The sequence below is a fragment of the Homo sapiens genome, chromosome 3, assembly GCF_000001405.40.
Source record: "Homo sapiens chromosome 3, GRCh38.p14 Primary Assembly".
In the NCBI taxonomy this organism is placed as follows: Eukaryota; Metazoa; Chordata; class Mammalia; order Primates; family Hominidae; genus Homo; species Homo sapiens.
In genome coordinates, this window is record NC_000003.12 from 112,162,021 (window position 1) to 112,182,386 (window position 20,366).

Consider the following 20,366-nt stretch of genomic DNA (forward strand, 5'->3'; position numbering starts at 1 on the left):
TCTTTGAAGCACTTGTGAATGGCAGTTCACTCATGATTTGGCTCTCTGTTTGTCTGTTGTTGGTGTATAAGAATGCTTGTGATTTTTGCACATTGATTTTGTATCCTGAGACTTTGCTGAAGTTGCTTATGAGCTTAAGGAGATTTTGGGCTGAGACAATGGGGTTATCTAGATATACAATCATGTCATCTGCAAACAGGGACAATTTGACTTCCTCTTTTCCTAATTGACTACCCTTTATTTCCTTCTCCTGCCTAATTGCCCTGGCCAGAACTTCCAACACTGTGTTGAATAGGAGTGGTGAGAGAGGGCATCCCTGTCTTGTGCCAGTTTTCAAAGGGAATGCTTCCAGTTTTTGCCCATTCAGTATGATATTGGCTGTGGGTTTGTCATAGATAGCTCTTATTATTTTGAAATACGTCCCATCAATACCGAATTTATTGAGAGTTTTTAGCATGAAGGGTTGTTGGATTTTGTTAAAGGCCTTTTCTGCATCTATTGAGATAATCATGTGGTTTTTGTCTTTGGCTCTGTTTATATGCTGGAGTACATTTATTGATTTGCGTATATTGAACCAGCCTTGCATCCCAGGGATGAAGCCCACTTGACCATGGTGGATTATCTTTTTGATGTACTGCTGGATTCATTTTGCCAGTATTTTATTGAGGATTTTTGCATCAATGTTCATCAAGGATATTGGTCTAAAATTCTCTTTTTTGGTTGTGTCTCTGCCCGGCTTTGGTATCAGAATGATGCTGGCCTCATAAAATGAGTTAGGGAGGATTCCCTCTTTTTCTATTGATTGGAATAGTTTCAGAAGGAATCGTACCAGTTCCTCCTTGTACCTCTGGTAGAATTCGGCTGTGAATCCATCTGGTCCTGGACCCTTTTTGGTTGGTAAGCTATTGATTATTGCCACAATTTCAGCTCCTGTTATTGGTCTATTCAGAGATTCAACTTCTTCCTGGTTTAGTCTTGGGAGAGTGTATGTGTCGAGGAATTTATCCATTTCTTCTAGATTTTCTAGTTTATTTGCGTAGAGGTGTTTGTAGTATTCTCTGATGGTAGTTTGTATTTCTGTGGGATCGGTGGTGATATCCCCTTTATCATTTTTTATTGCGTCTATTTGATTCTTCTCTCTTTTTTTCTTTATTAGTCTTGCTAGCGGTCTATCTATTTTGTTGATCCTTTCAAAAAACCAGCTCCTGGATTCATTAATTTTTTGAAGGGTTTTTTGTGTCTCTATTTCCTTCAGTTCTGCTCTGATTTTAGTTATTTCTTGCCTTCTGCTAGCTTTTGAATATGTTTGCTCTTGCTTTTCTAGTTCTTTTAATTGTGATGTTAGGGTGTCAATTTTGGATCTTTCCTGCTTTCTCTTGTGGGCATTTAGTGCTATAAATTTCCCTCTACACACTGCTTTGAATGCGTCCCAGAGATTCTGGTATGTTGTCTCTTTGTTCTCGTTGGTTTCAAAGAACATCTTTATTTCTGCCTTCATTTCGTTATGTACCCAGTAGTCATTCAGGAGCAGGTTGTTCAGTTTCCATATAGTTGAGCGGTTTTGAGTGAGATTCTTAATCCTGAGTTCTAGTTTGATTGCACTGTGGTCTGAGAGACAGTTTGTTATAATTTCTGTTCTTTTACATTTGCTGAGGAGAGCTTTACTTCCCAGTATGTGGTCAATTTTGGAATAGGTGTGGTGTGGTGCTGAAAAAAATGTATATTCTGTTGATTTGGGGTGGAGAGTTCTGTAGATGTCTATTAGGTCCTCTTGGTGCAGAGCTGAGTACAATTCCTGGGTATCCTTGTTGACTTTCTGTCTCGTTGATCTGTCTAATGTTGACAGTGGGGTGTTAAAGTCTCCCATTATTAATGTGTGGGAGTCTAAGTCTCTTTGTAGGTCACTCAGGACTTGCTTTATGAATCTGGGTGCACTTGTGTTGGGTGCATATATATTTAGGATAGTTAGCTCTTCTTGTTGAATTTATCCCTTTACCATTATGTAATGGCCTTCTTTGTCTCTTTTGATCTTTGTTGGTTTAAAGTCTGTTTTATCAGAGACTAGGATTGCAACCCCTGCCTTTTTTTGTTTTCCATTTGCTTGGTAGATTTTCCTCCATCCTTTTATTTGGAGCCTATGTGTGTCTCTGCACGTGAATTGGGTTTCCTGAATACAGCACACTGATGGGTCTTGACTCTTTATACAATTTGCCAGTCTGTGTCTTTTAATTGGAGCACTTAGTCCATTTACATTTAAAGTTAATATTGTTTTGTGTGAATTTGATCCTGTCATTATGATGTTAGCTGGTTATTTTGCTCGTTAGTGGATGCAGTTTCTTCCTAGTCTCGATGGTCTTTACATTTTGGCATGATTTTGCAGCAGCTGGTACCGGTTGTTCCTTTCCATGTTTAGCGCTTCCTTCAGGAGCTCTTTTAGGGCAGGCCTGGTGGTGACAAAATCTCTCAGCATTTGCTTGTCTATAAAGGATTTTATTTCTCCTTCACTTATGAAGCTTAGTTTGGCTGGATATGAAATTCTGGGTTGAAAATTCTTTTCTTTAAGAATGTTGAATATTGGCCCCCACTCTCTTCTTGCTTGTAGAGTTTCTCCTGAGAGGTCCGCTATTAGTCGGATGGGCTTCCCTTTGTGGGTAACCTGACCTTTCTCTCTGACTGTCGTTAACTTTTTTTCCTTCATTTCAACTTTGGTGAATCTGACAATTATGTGTCTTGGAGTTGCTCTTCTTGAGGAGTATCTTTGTGGCATTCTCTGTATTTCGTGAATTTGAATGTTGGCTGCCCTGCTAGATTGGGGAAGTTCTCCTGGATAATATCCTGCAGAGTGTTTTCCAGCTTGGTTCCATTCTCCCCATCACTTTCAGGTACACCAATCAGACGTAGATTTGGTCTTTTCACATAGTCCCATATTTCTTGGAGGCTTTATTCATTTCTTTTTATTCTTTTTTCTCTAAACTTCTCTTCTCACTTCATTTCATTCATTTGATCTTCCATCACTGATATCCTTTCTTCCAGTTGATCAAATCGGCTACTGAGGCTTGTGCGTTCATCACGTAGTTCTTGTGCCATGGTTTTCAGCTCCCTCAGGTCCTTTAAGGACTTCTCTGCATTGGTTATTCTAGTTAGCCATTCGTCTAAGTTTTTTTCAAGGTTTTTAACTTCTTTGCCATGGGTTCGAACTTCCTCCTTTAGCTCAGAGATGTTTGATCATCTGAAGCCGTCTTCTCTCAACTCGTCAAAGTCATTCTCCATCCAGCTTTGTTCCATTGCTGGTGAGGAGCTGCATTCCTTTAGAGAAGGAGAGGCACTCTGATTTAGAGTTTCCAGTTTTTCTGCTCTGTTTTTTCCCCATCTTTGTGGTTTTATCTACCTTTGGTCTTTAATGATGGTGACGTACAGATGGGGTTTTGGTGTGGATGTCCTTTGTGTTTGTTACTTTTCCTTCTAACAGTCAGGACCCTCAGCTGCAGGTCTGTTGGAGTTTGCTGGAGGTCCACTCCAGACCCTGTTTGCCTGGGTATCAGCAGTGGAGGCTGCACAACAGCGGATATTGGTGAACAGCAAATGTTGCTACCTGATCGTTCCTCTGGAAGTTTTGTCTCAGAGGAGTACCTAGCCATTTGAGGTGTCAGTCTGTCCCTACTGGGGGGTGCCTCCCAGTTAGGCTACTCGGGGGTCAGGGACCCACTTGAGGAGGCAGTTTGTCCATTCTCAGATGTCCAGCTGTGTGCTAGGAGAACCACTACTCTCTTCAAAGCTATCAGAGAGGGACATTTAAGTCTGCAGAGGATTCTGCTGCCTTTTGTTTGGCAATGTCCTGCCCCCAGAGGTGGCATCTGCAGAAGCAGGCAGGCCTCCTTGAGCTGCAGTGGGCTCCACCCAGTTCGATCTTCCTGGCCGCTTTGTTTACCTACTCAAGCCTAAGCAATGGCGGGTCCCCCTCCCCCAGCCTTGTTGCTGCCTTGCAGTTTGATCTCAGACTGCTGTGCTAGCAGTGAGTGAGGCTCCGTGGTCGTAGGACCCTCCAAGCCAGGCGCTGGATATAATCTCCTGGTGTGCCGTTTGCTAAGATCGTTGGAAAAGCACAGTATTAGGGTGGGAGTGACCCGATTTTCCAGGCGCCGTCTGTCACCCCTTTCTTTGACTAGGATAGGGAATTCCCTAACCCCTTGTGCTTCCCAGGTGAGGCAATGCCTTGCCCTGCTTCAGCTCACACTTGGTGCGCTGCACCCACTGTCCTGCACCCACTTTCTGACACTCCCCAGTGAGATGAACCCGGTACCTCAGTTGGAAATGCAGAAATCACCCGTCTTCTGCGTCACTCATGCTGGGAGCTGTAGATTGGAGTCTAGCATTTCTTTAAATGTTAAATGTGCATCCTTCGAGCTGGAGAGCTCCACATGGCTGGGGAGGCCTCAAGAAACTTACAGTCATGGTGGACAGCACCTCTTCACAGGGCAGCAGGAGAGAGAATCCCACATTGTGTTTTCAGTGCAAGTTTTCACCTGTGAATTGTCTTTGGTTGATCTCTTGATTGGTAATATTTTTTATAGACACAGGATTTTAAAATTGATTTCTATATTTCTATATTTTGAACATTATTTCTCCTTTAATGAATTGATCAATTAAATTCTATTATTATTACTTATTCAATAATTTTTAAATTTTTAATATTTATCTCAAAATTCAATTTTTAAATTTATCTCAAAAGTATTTTTCAAATTTTAACCATGGTCTTAATAGTAGTGATTAAATAATCATATATGTTATGATTAAAGTTTTATCTATTAAAATCTGTAAGAAGAATAGGCTTTATATCAAAATTATTCATCTAGTTCCAGTGATTTATGTTTGTTGTTCAGACAGTACAATGCTCTTTTTATTGTTATTGCTATGTAACATATCTTAATTTTGGGGAAGAGCTAGTAATTCCCTCATTAACCTTTTTTCATATCATTTTGATAATTATGCACTTTTGTTCTTATGGATGAAATATATAATAATTTAAAAATGTAACTTCAATATTGTCTGTCTGAACTCATACATTGAATAGCAAATATGGCAGTTAAAAGGATTCCTCAATATATTAGGCAGAATGCAAACAACAGTTTCCAAATACACATATGGCTATTTTATAAAGGGAAAGTAAGTTTTCACAATTGCTGAAAGAAGTCTAACTCACCTATTAATCCTGGTGTAAGATAACTTTTATGTTTAGGAACAAACTTTCTAATATTCCTTCTGAATGTTTTCATGTTAATCGGAGTTTGAATAATCACTACTTTTGTGAAATCTTCAATACTTTGTATCTGAAAGTTGACAGAATGCAAGTTAATTTCTGAGCAAATATCCTACAATTAAAAATTTACCTAGTAAGCTGCTATTTCTGGCTTTCTCTAGGTATCTGGGAAAAATGGAAAATATTAACAAATCAACACAAATAAGATTAATATCTTAAAATACTTGGATATATTGGTTTTGTAAAAGTCACTATTCCATATACATTCATTGATTTTTAAATATTTCTATTCCATATGAAAAAAATGATTAAGAATGAATTACCAATGGCCCTTTAAAAATCATCCAGAGACTTTTTCCACATGGCAGAAAGAAAGTTTAATGAAAAGAGTATTTCAAAATATTCTTTTCATTAAACTTTCTTTCTGCCATATAGAAATATTTCAAAATATTCTTCCACCTTGTGGTTGTTTTCAATATAGTTTGAATCACACTGGTACCCAAATCCACAATGAGTAGGGCTCTGTTTCTAGGAAAGTAGATAGAGTTTATCAGGCTTCAGGCTCCTGCTTGGCTGTCTAAATTCTCAACAAGCACCCACACCAAATCTCTGTTACATGTTCAAGGATAGAGGTAGAGAGCAGCGTAGCGGAGAATGTTTCACTTCCTCTCATTAAGCATTATGTCAGTGCTGGTGATGTCCACTTAGAAAATTTTCTTGTGATCCTTTCTCACCTTGGGATCCCTCCCATTCCCATTACACTTTTTTCTTATGTCCAAAATCTACCCTGTAAGTGCTTTTATCCTAGCTGTAAAACATCTTATTAATATCTTTACTTATTTGTTTCTTTTCACTTGGTTGAGAGATCTCTTGAGGATAAGTTGTAAGTATCATTTTTTTTATCATTTCAATATATAGCACTGTATTCCAGCATATTTTAAATAACTCTGAGTCCTCTTTGAATTACTTTTTGTAGCTGTGTCTTTTATGTGCCCTGATTCCTATTGACATGTGCCTCTCTGATTCTCCCCCAACACAAAACAATACACACACACACACACACACACACACACACACACACACACACACAACTTCTTTCCTTCTTTACATGGCTCAGGTTCTCATTTTGATTGGCAGGGGAACTCAATTAGCAATTTAAATATGAGAAGACATTCACTTTCAAAGCAGCTGTAGGAATACTACTAATACTCAATTCAGCATCAGTCTGGCAGAACCTTTCTAGAGCATTGTTGATACAGTTTTTCTGCAACATGTGAGTAAAATAAATGCACCCTCTTTTGCAATGAATAACTGTACCAAAATCTAACTGTAACCAAAATGTCCAGCTTGGCCTTCATAGGCATTGGATGGGAATAGCTTGTGCTTGGGCTAGCAAGTGCCAAAGCAGTCAATGAACTTGGTGTGTGTGGGCCTATGTGGGTGTGGTTGTGGGTATGAGTGAGTGTTTATGGAGTGGTGGGAAAAGGGAGAAGATTGGAAGATGAAAAGCTTAAGATTATAGTGACAGTTTTTCTGACGTTAATACATTGTTGGACATATGGCATATTGATCTGAAGACAGGAATCAATATTTCTTTACCTGATGGCATGTTATAGGAATTAAGAAAGGTGCTCTATAAGTTTTTCGTAACAGACAATCTTCTACAGCTCCATGTATGAGGATAACATAGATTAGATTTTCATCATAAATATCAGTTTTGGTACTCATTGGTATATCTACTACATAAATATTAGAGAGCTTTAGTTGCATATTGTAGTTCCAATCCTGTTTTAGAAAACACAATTTCAGTCTATTATTAGTCTATGAAGTTCAGTATATATTCATAAATAGTCAATTATAATGTTTTAATGCCATTCCATTCAAAGAAAGAAAGACAAGTTTATACAAGCACTTCCTACCTCATAAGATAAGTGTTCTCTGATTTTTCTGGCTGTAATAGCGAGTCCAAGTTTTAGCCACATTTTTTGTTTAATGAGAGGAGAGCATTGCTCAAAAGCATCATACAAGTGAGTTTTGGGAATAAAACATGTCTGGAAAAGAAGGATGTAAATTTGATATTTTATTTTGTGCACTATGGTTTAAGGAATAAAGTTTTTTTGTTTATGTACACTATTAAAGCTAATAATTTAATTAGGTAAGATTCACATAATAGCATGGAAACTTAGTAAAATGTGTCTATCAATGAAAATTGGTGTGTCCTTTCCCTATGTTGTTGTTGACTTTGTCAAAATCAGTTGGCTGTAAAATGTGGCTTTATTTCTGGGTTTTTAAATTCTGTTCCATTGATGTATGTGTATATTTGTAAACCAGTTTCATGCTGTTTTGATTACTATATCTTTATAGTATAATTTGAAGTTAGGTGATGTGATTCCCCCAGCTTTGTTCTTTTTGCTTAGGATTGCTTTGGATATTTGAGCTCTTTTTTGGTTCCATATGAATTTTAGGATAGTTTTTTCCAATTCTGTGAAAATCAGGGCATTTTGATAGATATTGCATTCAATCTATAGGTTGCTTTGGGCAGTGTGGTCACTTCAACAGTACTAATTCTTCTGATCCATGAGCATAGGATGTTTTTCATTTGTTTGTGTCATCTAAAATTTCTTTCCATAAATGGTATTGGGAAAATTTGATTGCTTTATGCAAAACAATAATACTGGACCCTTTATCTCTCACCACATTAAAAAAAATCAACTCAACATGGATTAAAGAGTTAAACGTTAGATCCTAAACTATAAACATGCTGGAAGGAAACCTAGAGAAAAGTCTTCTAGACATTGGTGTAGGCAAAGAATTCATGACTAAAACCTCAAAAGCACAGGCAACAAGAACAAAAATAGACAAATGGAACATAATTGAACTAAATAGCTTCTGTACCACAAAAATAAATAAATAATCAAGTGAACAGGCAACCTATTCACTGGGAGAAACAAAAACCCTGCAGAATGGGAGAATATATTTGCAAACTATGCGTCTGACAATGGACCAATGTCCAGAATTTACAAGGAACTCGAATAGCCTTTCTGACTAGTGTAAGGTGGTATCTCATTGTAGTTTTCATGTGCATTTTTCTGATGATTAATGATTTTGAACATTGTTTATATACCTGTTGGCCATTTGTATGTCTTCTTTTGAGAAATGTTTATTCAGGTCCTTTGCTTATTTTTAATTGTATTATTTATTTTCTTGCTGTTGAGCTTTTGAGTTCCTTATATATTTTAGATACAAACCCATTATCAGATGTATGATTTACACATATTTTTTATAAGATAAAATATAGAAAACAAATTACTAACAATTATTTGACCTTTTTAGATAAATATATGCATCTATAAATATGTTATTTGAGGGGAGCAAACTTTTTAGGCAAAAATAAAATGCTTATGCTAAAAGTGAACAGATCATTGGTTACTAAGAATAAAACTTCTATGAATAGTCAAAAACAAGTTTTGTGTACATTGGATTTTATTTCTCTTGGGTCAGTATCTTTTTTTGTGTGTAGTATAGGACATGTATATTTAACTTTTGTAAGCAACTGACAAACTGTTTCAGACCAAAACCACTGTTCAAATTAAAACTCTGTTTCAGAAGTTGTTGCAACATTTTACACTCTCATCAGCCATGTATGAAAATTTCAGCTGGGCGTGGTGGCTCATGCCTGTAATCTTAGCACTTTGGGAGGCTGAGGCGGGCTGAGCCCCTGAGGTCAGGAGTTGGAGACCAGCCTAGCCAACATGGCGAAATGCCGTCTCTACTAAAAATACAAAAATTATCTGGGCATGGTGGCACGTGACTGTAATCCTAGCTACTTGGGAGGCTGAGGCAGGAGAATCACTTGAATCCGGGAGGCGGAGGTTGCAGTGAGCTGAGATTGGGAGCCATTGCACTCCAGCCTGGGCAACAGAGTGAGACTCTGTCAGAAAAAAAAAAGAAAAGAAAAGAAAAGAAAATTTTAGTTGCTCCACGTCCTTGCCAATACCTGTTATTCAGTGTTTTTATTTTTAGGCAATGTAGTAGGTGTGTATTGACGTACCACTGTGGGTTTAATTTGCATGTTTCTGGCAGCTAATGATGGTGAACATCTTCATGTGTTTATTGGCCATTTGTATATTCTTTGTAAAGTGTCTGTTCACATTCTTTGCCCAGTTTTTAATTCAGTAGTTTGTCTTCTTATTTTTGAATTGTTAAGAGTTATTTATAGATTCTATTATCAAATCCTTTTCTTGGGGAACTTTTGAAAAATCCCTAAGCCCATGACTCATATTTTTCCCTGAGCCTGCTGCTCATATTTTTTGTGATGTCTTTTGAAGAGCAGAAGATTTTTAATTTTGGTGACATCCAATTTATCAATATTTCGTTTTATGGTTAGTACTTAAAAAAATCCTGGCTAAGAAATCTTTGCCTACCTTAAGTTCTCCTATGTTTTCTTCTATAATTTATATAGTTCTATCTTTCATGTTAAAGTATATGATCATGCCACATTACATTTTGGGCCTAGTACATGGGGATCAAGGTTCATTGCTTCTGCATGGATATTCAGTGTTTTCAGGATTATTTGTTGAAAATATTGTAATTTTTCCATTGAGATAATTTGATCCTTTGTCAAAAATCTATTGACTATGTATGTGTGGATTTATTTATGGATTCTCTTTTCTGTTGTATTGATCTCTACATCTTAACCTAAAGCCAACATCATGTGGCCTTAATTACACAGGATGTATGCCTTTAAATCAGGTAGTGTAAATCATCTAACTTTTTTATATTTGTTTTGCCTATTATAGGTCCTCTGCATTTTCATATATATTCTACAAAAAGAGTCTGTGGAGAGTTGGATTGAGGTTGTATTAAATCTATAGATCAATTTTTGAAGAATGGATATCTTAATAATATTATGGGCTCTAATCCACAAATACGGTGTACTTCTCCATTTATTTAATCTTTTTTCAGTTATCTAGGAAATATTCTATGGTTTTCATTGTAGAGTTATTCCACGTATTTCATTAACTTTATCTCTTTTATACTTTGATTATTTTTGTAAAAAGAATTAAAAATTTTATTTCCAGTTGTTTGTTACTAGTATATGAAAACACAATTAATTTTTGGAATTTGGACTTGTATTTTACCATCTTACTAAATTCATTATAAATTCTAGTTATTTTTGGTAGAATCTTACAAATGTAGATATCATGCCATCTTGCAGAGACAATTTTAGTGCTTTCTTTGTAATTTTTATGTCAGTTTACTTCTTTTTCTAGCCCTATTGTACTAGTTAACAACTCCAATATAATACTGAATGGAAGTGGTGAGAGTGGACATTCTTGTCTTGCTCTCAGTCTTACCGTCTTAGTTTTTCATCACTAGATGTGATGTTAGCTGTAAATTTATAATAAATGCCCCTTATTGAGTTCAGGAAGTTGCATTCTATTCTGAGTTTTTGGAGATTTTTTAAAAGAATGTTACATTTTGTAAAATTCTCTTTGTTCTATATCTACTTGAATATCTTATATAAATTTTCTGTTTTTTTCTTATAATGTGTTGAATCACAATGGTTGATTTTCAAATGTCGAATCAATCTTATATTCCTAAAATAAAGCTCATTTATTTAGTTTTGATGTCTAATCCTTTTAATATATTCTTAGATTCAACTTGCTAGTATCTTATTAATGATTTTTTTGTGTCCACATTAATGTGGGATTATTGGTCTGTAATTTTCTTTTGCTGAAATGTTTTTTCAAGGTTTAGTATTTGTTTGCACTGGCCCCATAAAATGCACTGGAAAGCTTTTTTTCCTCCTTTGTTTCCTGACAAAGTCTGTGTAAGATTCATATTATTTCTTCCTGAAATATTTGATAAAACTCATCAGTAAAACCATCTGGCATGGAGTTGTTTTTGTGGGAAGGACACAAATTCCAAAAATCTCAGTATGTATAGTACTATTAAAAAGTTCTAGTCCTTAAGTAAATTTTGACGTGTGTGCTTTTTAAAATTTTTTCATTTAGGTTTAAGGATAGAAGTGCAGGTTTGTTATATAGGTAAATTACATTTCGCAGGGATCTGGTGTACAGATCATTTTATCACCCAGGTAATAAGCATAATGGTACATGATAAGTAGTTTTTTGATCCTTACCTTCCTCCCTACACTCCACTCTCAAGTAGGCTCTGGTGTATCTTGCTCCCTTTTTTGTGTCCATATGTACTTGATGTTTAGCTCCCATTTATAAATGAGAACATGCAGTATTTGCTTTTCTGTTCCTGTGTTAGTTTGCTAAGGATAATAGTGTCCACCTCCATCTATGTTGCTGCAAAGGACATGATCTCATTCTTTTCTATGGCTGCATAGTATTCCATGGTGTGTATGTACCACATTTTCTTTATCCAGTCTACTGTTGATGGGCATTTAGGTTGATTCCATGTCTTTGCTGTTGTGAATAGTGCTGCAAAGAACATACACATACATGTGTCTTTATAGTAGAATGATTTATGTTCCTTTCTGTATATACCCAATAACAAAATTGTTGGGTTGAATGGTAATTCTGTTTTAAGTTCTCTTAGAAATTGCCAACGTTCTTTCCACAATGGCTGAACTAATTTACATTCCCATCAGTAGGATATAAGCATTCCCTTTTCTCCACAGCCTTGCCAGCATGTGTTATTTTTTGACTTTTTAATGATAGTCATTCTGACTGGTGTGAGATGGTATCTCATTGTGTTTTGATTTGTATTTCAAATGTAAATGGTTAGTGATCGTCAGAATTTTTTCATATGCTTGATGGCCATGTTTACATCTTCTTTAGAAAATTGTCGGTTCATATGGTTTGCCCACTTTTTAATGGGGTTGTTTGTGTTTTGCTTGTTAATTTGTTTAAGTTTCTTAGAGATTCTGGCTTATAAACCTTTGTCAGATGCATAGTTTGCAAGCATTGTCTTCCATTCTGTAAGTTGTTGCCCCTGGGGGCTCCACCTCCATGAAATGTGGAGCTGCTGTTACTGGTCAGCTGGAGGGGTGGGTTGTGTGTACTGTTGTCATGACCTTAGGATTTTTCATGCTGGGGATCAGGGGGCCAAAAGCTCACAGGGAGGAAAGATTGGTCTTTCCTCTGGTAGCAGTGGCATGTGGTAAGCTTGGGTGTAGCCCTCAGGCTCTTTGTTTCTTCCCCAGACTAAGGGCAGCAGGGATACAACTGTTACTGTGGCAGTGGAGGGAGCGGGGGTGCAGTTGTATGTCTCTAGGAGCCTCTCCCTGGGCAACCTCTGTGCTACTACCAGTGAGTATGCGCAGTTGTGGATGGAGCAACTGTTCTACTTTCATGAGCTGGGGGCCCTGCCTGGTGAAGAGTTGGGGTGGTGGTTCACCTCCATATGGTGGCTGCCATGTGCTGGAGGTGCCAGCATAATGACTAGGCCCTTTGTTCCTTTCCAGTGTCAGGGCTGTAAGGGCTGAGCCACTGCAACTGTAGTAGCAGAGGGGTTGTGAGTTGACTCTATGATTTCCTCCTTGAAGAAATGCTGGGCTGTCTTTGATTGTGGTGATCAGGCAAGGGTTGGGTCATTGTGCTGGAGTCCCAGGCCAGGCAGCCCTGCCCAGTGAGGAAAAGTGAGGATCTGGATCTGCGTGGAGAACAGTCTGGCCACTTTTCTGTGAGCTGGTTGCTCTTTGCTGGGGGTCTGGACCAGCCTCTGGTCCCTACAGACTCTCTGGATCCTGGAGACAGCAAGGGCAAGGGCTGCAAGACAGCAAGGATAGCAACTCCCCTTCCCAAGGGAGTCCTGTCCAGGGAGTTGCAGAACTGCTACTGGCTCAATAGCCCTGACAAAGGGTGGCTGGAGGCCCAGGCCTGGAGGACTTGCCCAGTGAGGAGATGTGGGAACTAGCTCCATGTAATAGTCTGGCCACTTTTCCATAGGGCTGCTGCAGTATGCTGGGTGTCCGCTCCAGTCCCTAGTCACCTCGGACTTTCTAGTGCCTGAAGGTAACAATGAGTGGAGGGTGCGAAACAGCAGAGATGGTGGCCTGCCTCTCCCTCTGAGAGCTCTGCCCCAGGGAGGTATGAACCTATTGCCAGCCCGAACACACCTGTAGGAGGTAGCTGGAGAACCCGGTCAGGAGGTCCCACCCAGTGAAAAGGAATGGGATCAGAGACCTACTTAAAAATAACAGTCTGGCCATGTTTTCATAGAGCAGCTGTGCTAGCTGGAGGTCCACTCCAGCCTTCAGTTGCCTTGGACTCTTCAAAGCCCGAAGGCAAGAATAGCTAAGTTGACCAAACAGCAAAGATGGTGGTCCACCCTCCCTCTGGGCGCTCTGTAACAAGGAGGTTTGAAACTCAGTTGGCCAACACCAGCAGGGGTGATTGGAGGACCCCAGTTGGGAGATTCTGCCTAGTGAGGAGAAATGGGATTCGGGATGTGCATGAATAAGAAGTCTGACTGCTTCTCCATAGTACTGCTGAGCAGTGCTGAGGGACTGCTCTAGTCCCTCATTGCCACCGATTTGCTGGAGCCCTAAGGCAACAGTGGTTGAGGCTGTGAAACAGCAAAGGTGGTGGCCCGCCCGACCTGCTGGGAGCTCTTTCTCAGAGAGATGCAATGCTGCTACCCGTGGCTGGCTGGATTTCCAAGCCAGTGGGTCTTATCATGTGATGTACCACGGTCCTGCAGACCATCATTGGTCAGTCCCCTGGATTCAGTCCCTTTCTTAGGAGTAGGTATAGGGATCTAACCTCCTGCTGAGGGTTGCAGCTGCTTTTGCTGGGAGGCCTGGGTATCTAAGGCTCCTAGGGCTCCACATGTGCCTGAGTGGCTGCTCTGCCAAGACTCCACATAGCTCTGCATGTCAGACTGCAAACCCTAGTGGAGTGGGTCCTCCTGACTGGAGGGTTGCAAAGATCCATGGGAGAAGCATGGGTTCCTGGGACTCCTCATTCACTCACTGCTTCCCTGGGCAGGGGAGGTTCCCCTGACTCTGTGTCACTCCCAGGTGGGTGGTCATCCTGCCTTACTTTTCTCCGTTCTCCGTGAATTGAGTTGTTTCCTTGATTAGTCCCAATGTGTGTACCTGGATGTTTCAGTTGAAAGTGCTATGTTTACTTGCCCCTTCCATCCCTCTCTGTGAGAGCGGCACACACCAGCTGCTTCTAGTCAGCCATGTTGGCCACCTCTCTCCAGAATCGATTTTTAACAACTGGTTTAAAGTCTTTGACCAATCTATAGTCTGGACAATCTCCATGATGGTTTTTACCGAATGCTTTACTCCTCACCTTTTATACTATAGATCACAATTTCATGCTTCTTTGCTTGTTTTGTAATTCATGGTTGCTCATGATAACACTACAGAGATTCTAGATTATTTTATCTTCTTCTGAAAATTGTTGATTTTTGTTATAGTAAGCAGTTCATTTACTATCTGATCACACTGAGCTTGTATAGGCTGGGTTTTACAATTTGCTTGAGTGAATCAGTAGAAAACCTCAGGTATCTAAGACAGTGTAACTTGTCTCCAAACTCTGTCTCCACCATGGGTGCTGTCAGGGCTTGCTCCAAGGCTTTGTTAGGTCTTAGAATAAGAGCAAGCCTTCTTCTAGGTCATGATTCTTACTCCTAAGGCCTATTCTTTCTGGTCTCTCAGCTGTGGGCCTGAGATTTTAACAGATCTTTCCTTTCTGTTAGATATCTTGACTTCTTGACTCCTGGTGTCTCTCTCTCTCTCTCTCTTTTTTTTTTTTTTTTTTGGTGATAGAGTCTTTCTCTGTCACCCAGGCTGGAGTGCAGTGGTGCGATCTCAGCTTACTGCAACCTCTGCCTCCTGGGTTCAAGTGATTCTCCTGCCTCAGCCTTCTAAGTAGTTGGGATTACAGGTGTGCACCACTGTGCCCAGCTAATTTTTGTATTTTTATTGGAGCCAGGGTTTCACCATGTTGGCCAGGCTGGTCTCAAACTCCTGACCTCAGGTGATCCACCAGCCTCAACCTACCAAAGTGCTGAGATTACAGGCGTGACCCGCCACACCTTGCCTGACTCCTGGTATCTCTCTTCCTTTCTTAACAATCTGGTAAATCTAGTTGTGTCTCATCCTGGGCATTTGCAGCCTGTCTCTCAACCAAGGACTTGTAGAGAACCACCACACAGGCTACTTGGGTCTTTCTCCGTGTAAGACTTTGTCTTACTTCCTGCTCTGCAGTTTCTAGCCAAGTTAGCTTCCACAACTTCTGATGTCTCATTTCTCAGCTTAGCAGGATCGCCATCTTCTGCTTGGATTCTTATTGCATCATGGTCAGGAAATGGTCCTAAGCAGAGGATCGGGGTGAATGTAGGGCTTACCTTGTGAGTTTCTCATCTCTTAGTTTTGGGTAACATAAGTTTACCTATATAACAAACCTGCACATGTACCCCTGTACCTAAAATAAAAGGATGAAAAAAATTTTTTTTCAAAAAAAAAAAAAAAATTAAATAGAAAAAAAATCACATTTGCCTCATATATTTTATTAAGTTTTAGGGTTTTTTTTTTATAGCAGATGTGCTGCTCTGTTACTAGTAACTTCATTATAGCCCAAAGCAGAAGGCTAGAGTGTTTTATGCAAATTCCAGGTATCATAAATATATAATTTTATTTTTAAATATTTTAATGATAGAGATATTTTAAATATATAACATATGTGATTATATGCCAAAAATAAAAATATCATTTAGTATTCTGTTCACATTAAAATGTCCTAAATTATCTCAAATAGGTCTCTTTATAATTGGTTTGTTCAAATTACAGCAATTGTATTTATTTGGTTATTATATCTCTTAAGTCCATTTTTAATAATTTTTCTTTGCCTTCTTCCCCTCTACCACTACATATTTTTTTTTTTTTGTAAACAGAGACAGAGTCTGGCTCTGTTACCAGTCTGGAGTGCAGTGGTGCAATCATGACTGACTGTAACTTTGGGTTCCTGAGCTCAAGCAATCCTCCCTTCTCAGCCTCCCAAGTAGCTGGATCTACAGGCATGTGTCACCATGCCTGGCTAATTTTTTTTTTTATTTTTTGCAGATATGTTGCAGGCCAGTCTCAAACTCCTGGCCTCAAGCAATCCTCCTGCCCCAGCCTCCCAAAGTTTTGGGATTACAGGTATAAGCCACCATGTCTGCTACTCCATTCACATTTTATGCCATTGATTTGTTAAAGAAATCAGGTTATTTGTCTACAGACTCTTCCACATTCTAAATTTAGCTGATTATTCCCTCTTGCTGTCAATTAACCTGTTTCTCTCCTTCCTGTATTTTCTGTAAACTGATTCAATCTATAGACTTGAAGAACTTCAGATTTTTTCTTGTGTGAGACTTCATGGGTGGTGCTAGCACTTCTGCTACATCACATCATGAGGTACATCATGCCTGGTTGTCCCATTTAGTGACACTAATATTGACCAATGTCCTTAGGTAGTATTTCCTTCATTATAACGTTTTCTATTAACATTCACTTAGTAGTTTTAGCACCAACTGAAGGTTGTTTCCTAGATCTATTATTTTATTAGCGATGGCACAATGGAGATTTTCTGATTCTCTCATTCTGCGTTCATTAGCTGAAATTCTATATAGAATTTTTCCCAATTAAAAAACTACTTTGAAAGAGTTCATAGAAGAAAGGCAAGATAAATGTTTACTTCTTTCTCTTAAAAAATCCATTTTCAAAGTAATAAAATGATATCCTAGCAACCTCAGTAGAAATTTTAAAAATTAGCATCATTATCAATGTATGTAATGTATGGGTTTTCACATATTTATGGAGTTTAATTATTTGCAGTCATTATTCTTTTTGAGTTCAAATTAAGCCAGTGGGAGCCCTTGGTACTGTGAGGATTTTGTTCTCAATCATGTGTAGGGAAACTTCCAGGCACTTTGTCCAACTTTTATATTAATAGATTCTAGCCCTGTCTTTATCCCCTTTCTCATCTTTCAAATTATGGTATTGACAATTAACATATGTTAGCCAATTTCCCCATGAAAGAGCTTATATTGCCAGTTTTTCTGGATACATCTTTCTTTCTGTATGGTTGATTAACATTCATAAGCTATTTTGCCAGGGCTTTATACTAGATGAGTGTAATTCGGCAAGTTTTGTTCCTTTATAATTCCTAGTTTTTAAAAGTAAATTGTCAACTAGACTGTAAACTTATACTAAATACTAAAATAACCTTAAATCTGATATTATTTAACAAAATACAACAAAAGTCACAGGCGAAGTTTTTCTGACCTCCACTACAGTTTTGCAGGTGGCAGAATATTTCATAGGTTCATTAGTTAAGCAGTTTATCTCTCCTATTATTTCTCCACTGAGCATATAGTCTGTGTCAATTATCGGAAAATCTTTCTCCTTTGACTCCACCATTTGATCAATCCCTAAACCTGGCTTTGATTTTTCAAGCTGTTCAGGAACAAAGAAAGAGAAAAATACATATGCCAGTTAACTTGTATTACCAAAACTAATTTATGACTTTTTCCACTTTGGTTTGAACAATTCTAATATTTACATATTGTCTTGAGAATAAATATTTTATTTCTTTTTAAGTAAAATTATTAAATTAGCAATGATTTAGACACAAAGCATTCTTAAATACTCTGATCTTTCTGATTCCTCCTACTTAGTTAATCTATACCCATTTTAGGATGGCTAAATCTCTAACTCAGATCAGCATAAGATGAATAACAATTTATATTATAATTGTCCATCGTGAAAGATAATTCTTTTGAAAGTTTCCTGTTATCTGTGAGAAAGTATGGCTTTAAAATGATGGATAGTGTTATCCATTGTGTCTGAACATGAAAATTTATCATTAGATGGTAGTCACTGTCCTAAAAAAGAAACTATGCAGTTCTTAACATGGAAAGCTACTAATTATCAATTTCATAAAGTTTTCTTTAAAAACTTATGATCACAAGTGCATTTATAAATAACACTGCCTGGTCAGGCGCAGTGGCTCACGCCTGTAACCCCAGCACTTTGGGAGGCTGAGGCGGGCGGATCACCTGAGGTCAGGAGTTTGAGACCAGCCTGGCTAACACGGTGAAACCCCGTTTCCACTAAAAATACAAAAAATTACCAGGGTGTGGTGGTGCGTGCCTGCAATTCCAGCTACTTGGGAGGCTGAGGCAGGAGTATCACTTGAACCCAGGAGGTGGAGGCTACAGTGAGCCAAGATCATGCCATTGCACTCCAGCTTGGGCAACAAGAGAGAAACTCTGTCTCAAAACAAAAAAACAAAACAAAACAAAAACCTCTGCCTTACCTTTACCATGCCTGAAATAATGATATAGATTCCTTTGGGCTCATCACCTTCTTCAAATATATCATTTCCACAATCAAATGTTACAACTTTGGCTTTTTCCTAAAAGATACCACCAAATACATAAACTATAAACAACATTTTAGAAGTGGTTGGGAATGTTAAAATTTGCATTTTTGTTATTTATTTTTTTGAGACGGAGTCTCGCTCTGTCACCCATACTGGAGTGCAGTGGTGCAATCTTGGCTCACTGCACCCTCCCCCTCCTGGGTTCAAGCCAAGGAGAATTGCTTGAGCCAATTCTCCTACCTCAGCCTCCTGAGTAGCTGGGATTACAGGTGCCCACGACCATGCCCAGCTAATTTTTGCATTTTTAGTAGATACGGGGTTTCACCACATTGGCCAGGCTGGTCTCAGACTCCTGACCTCAGGTTTTCTGCCCACCTTGGCCTTCCAAAGTGCTTGGATTACAGGCGTGAGCCACCATACCCGGCCTAAAATTTGCATTTTTAAAAAAAGTTTTTACATTTAAAAAATTACTATCATTTGATAATATCTGAAATATATTAGTAATAAGTTTGTAACAGAAAATAGAAATTATGAATAGTAAAGAGGAAGGTGGATCTTTGTGAATATATGCAATTTTAGATAGGGTATTTATACACGGATTAGAAAAGAAGTACTCTAGGAATGAGAATGTAATTAGGGGATAAAAATCTTTCATCTGGATGAAAAGTAATGGGAACAGATGTAGGCTAATGGCATGCATATGTCATACATACCCTTGCTCTAAACAGCTGATCAGGTAAATAAAATATTCATTTATTCAAAATGTTTAATCAGGTAGAAAAATATAATTGGTCTTTTGACATCAAATAGATATTTAAAAAAAGAATATTAGAACAAGTTAGATCCATTTATTTGCTCATTCCACAAGCACTTAACTGAGCATCCACTATGCATTATGCAAAGTGCTAGGGGCTGGGTATTCAAAAGGTAGATGAGATAAAAAATATAGTAGGAGGGAGACCTAAAGATAATTGTAATGTAATGTACTTAATGCTATAATAAAGGTACATATTGGATACAATGGCAGCAATATTGGTCCTCTGAAAACAATATAGTTCACAGGAAGGTCTTCTACTGGGGCATTTGGCCCCAAAACCTACTTCTCTGAGTACTCTGGTGGGGATGTTTCCAGAAAAGAAATAAGCAGGAAAAGTTTGAAAAAAAAAAAGTGAAAAACAAGGGCATTTCAAGAAAAGTAAATAGCACCCACAGATGAATGGAATTAGAAAAACATGTAATGTGCATGGAACACCATGAGTGGTTCAGTATAAATAGAGTATAGAGGATATGTGACAATGGAAAACAGAAGACAAAGCTGAAGTAGGCAGGAAACAGATTGTAGAAACATTTTGCATATTATTCAAAAGGATTTTGATTTTATCCTATCAGAAATAAGGAACATTTAGAGAATATTAAACTAGAGAGTATCATGGTTAAATTCTTATTTTAAAGATTATTTGTTAGTACATTAAAAATATTATTAATAGGAAATAAAAGTGTTACCTGAATGAAGTTTATATAATCTTTGTTTTTATCTAGCCACGGAATATGATATAGAACTTCTTCAACAGTAAGAGGCCTGATAATAGATTGAGAATCAAGCACCTCTTTCTTTTTGGCCATGATTAACTAAAACATAAAATTTAAGAAAAGGGATGAACCAAACTGCTGTTCCCAGAATGTTTAAGGCAGACAGGTCTTTGTACTATTTCCTATTCTTGATCATTTGACATTTTTCTTCTTCCATGAACATTTTC

At 38.1% G+C, this 20,366-nt stretch overlaps 1 protein-coding gene across 10 annotated transcripts in view; it reads right to left on the reverse strand.

The window, feature by feature from the left end:
- SLC9C1 (solute carrier family 9 member C1) overlaps nt 1-20,366 on the reverse strand; it is a 153,319-nt gene that overhangs the window by 21,123 nt on the left and 111,830 nt on the right. For 7 of the 10 annotated variants that reach the window (NR_135297.2, XM_011512718.2, NM_001320531.2 and 4 more), the window contains 6 exons: nt 20,113-20,238; nt 18,544-18,642; nt 17,511-17,681; nt 7,177-7,308; nt 6,857-7,042; nt 5,201-5,327 (listed from right to left, as the gene is read on the reverse strand). Coding sequence is in view for 9 of the 10 variants with exons in the window: in XM_011512718.2 (XP_011511020.1) it covers nt 5,201-5,327; nt 6,857-7,042; nt 7,177-7,308; nt 17,511-17,681; nt 18,544-18,642; nt 20,113-20,238 (841 nt within the window). In the remaining variant the exon portion in view is untranslated. Of the gene's footprint in view, nt 1-5,200; nt 5,328-6,856; nt 7,043-7,176; nt 7,309-17,510; nt 17,682-18,543; nt 18,643-20,112; nt 20,239-20,366 lie in introns of those variants that run through there. The other 3 variants (XM_011512719.2, XM_017006248.2, XM_011512724.2) reach the window with 3 other exon arrangements.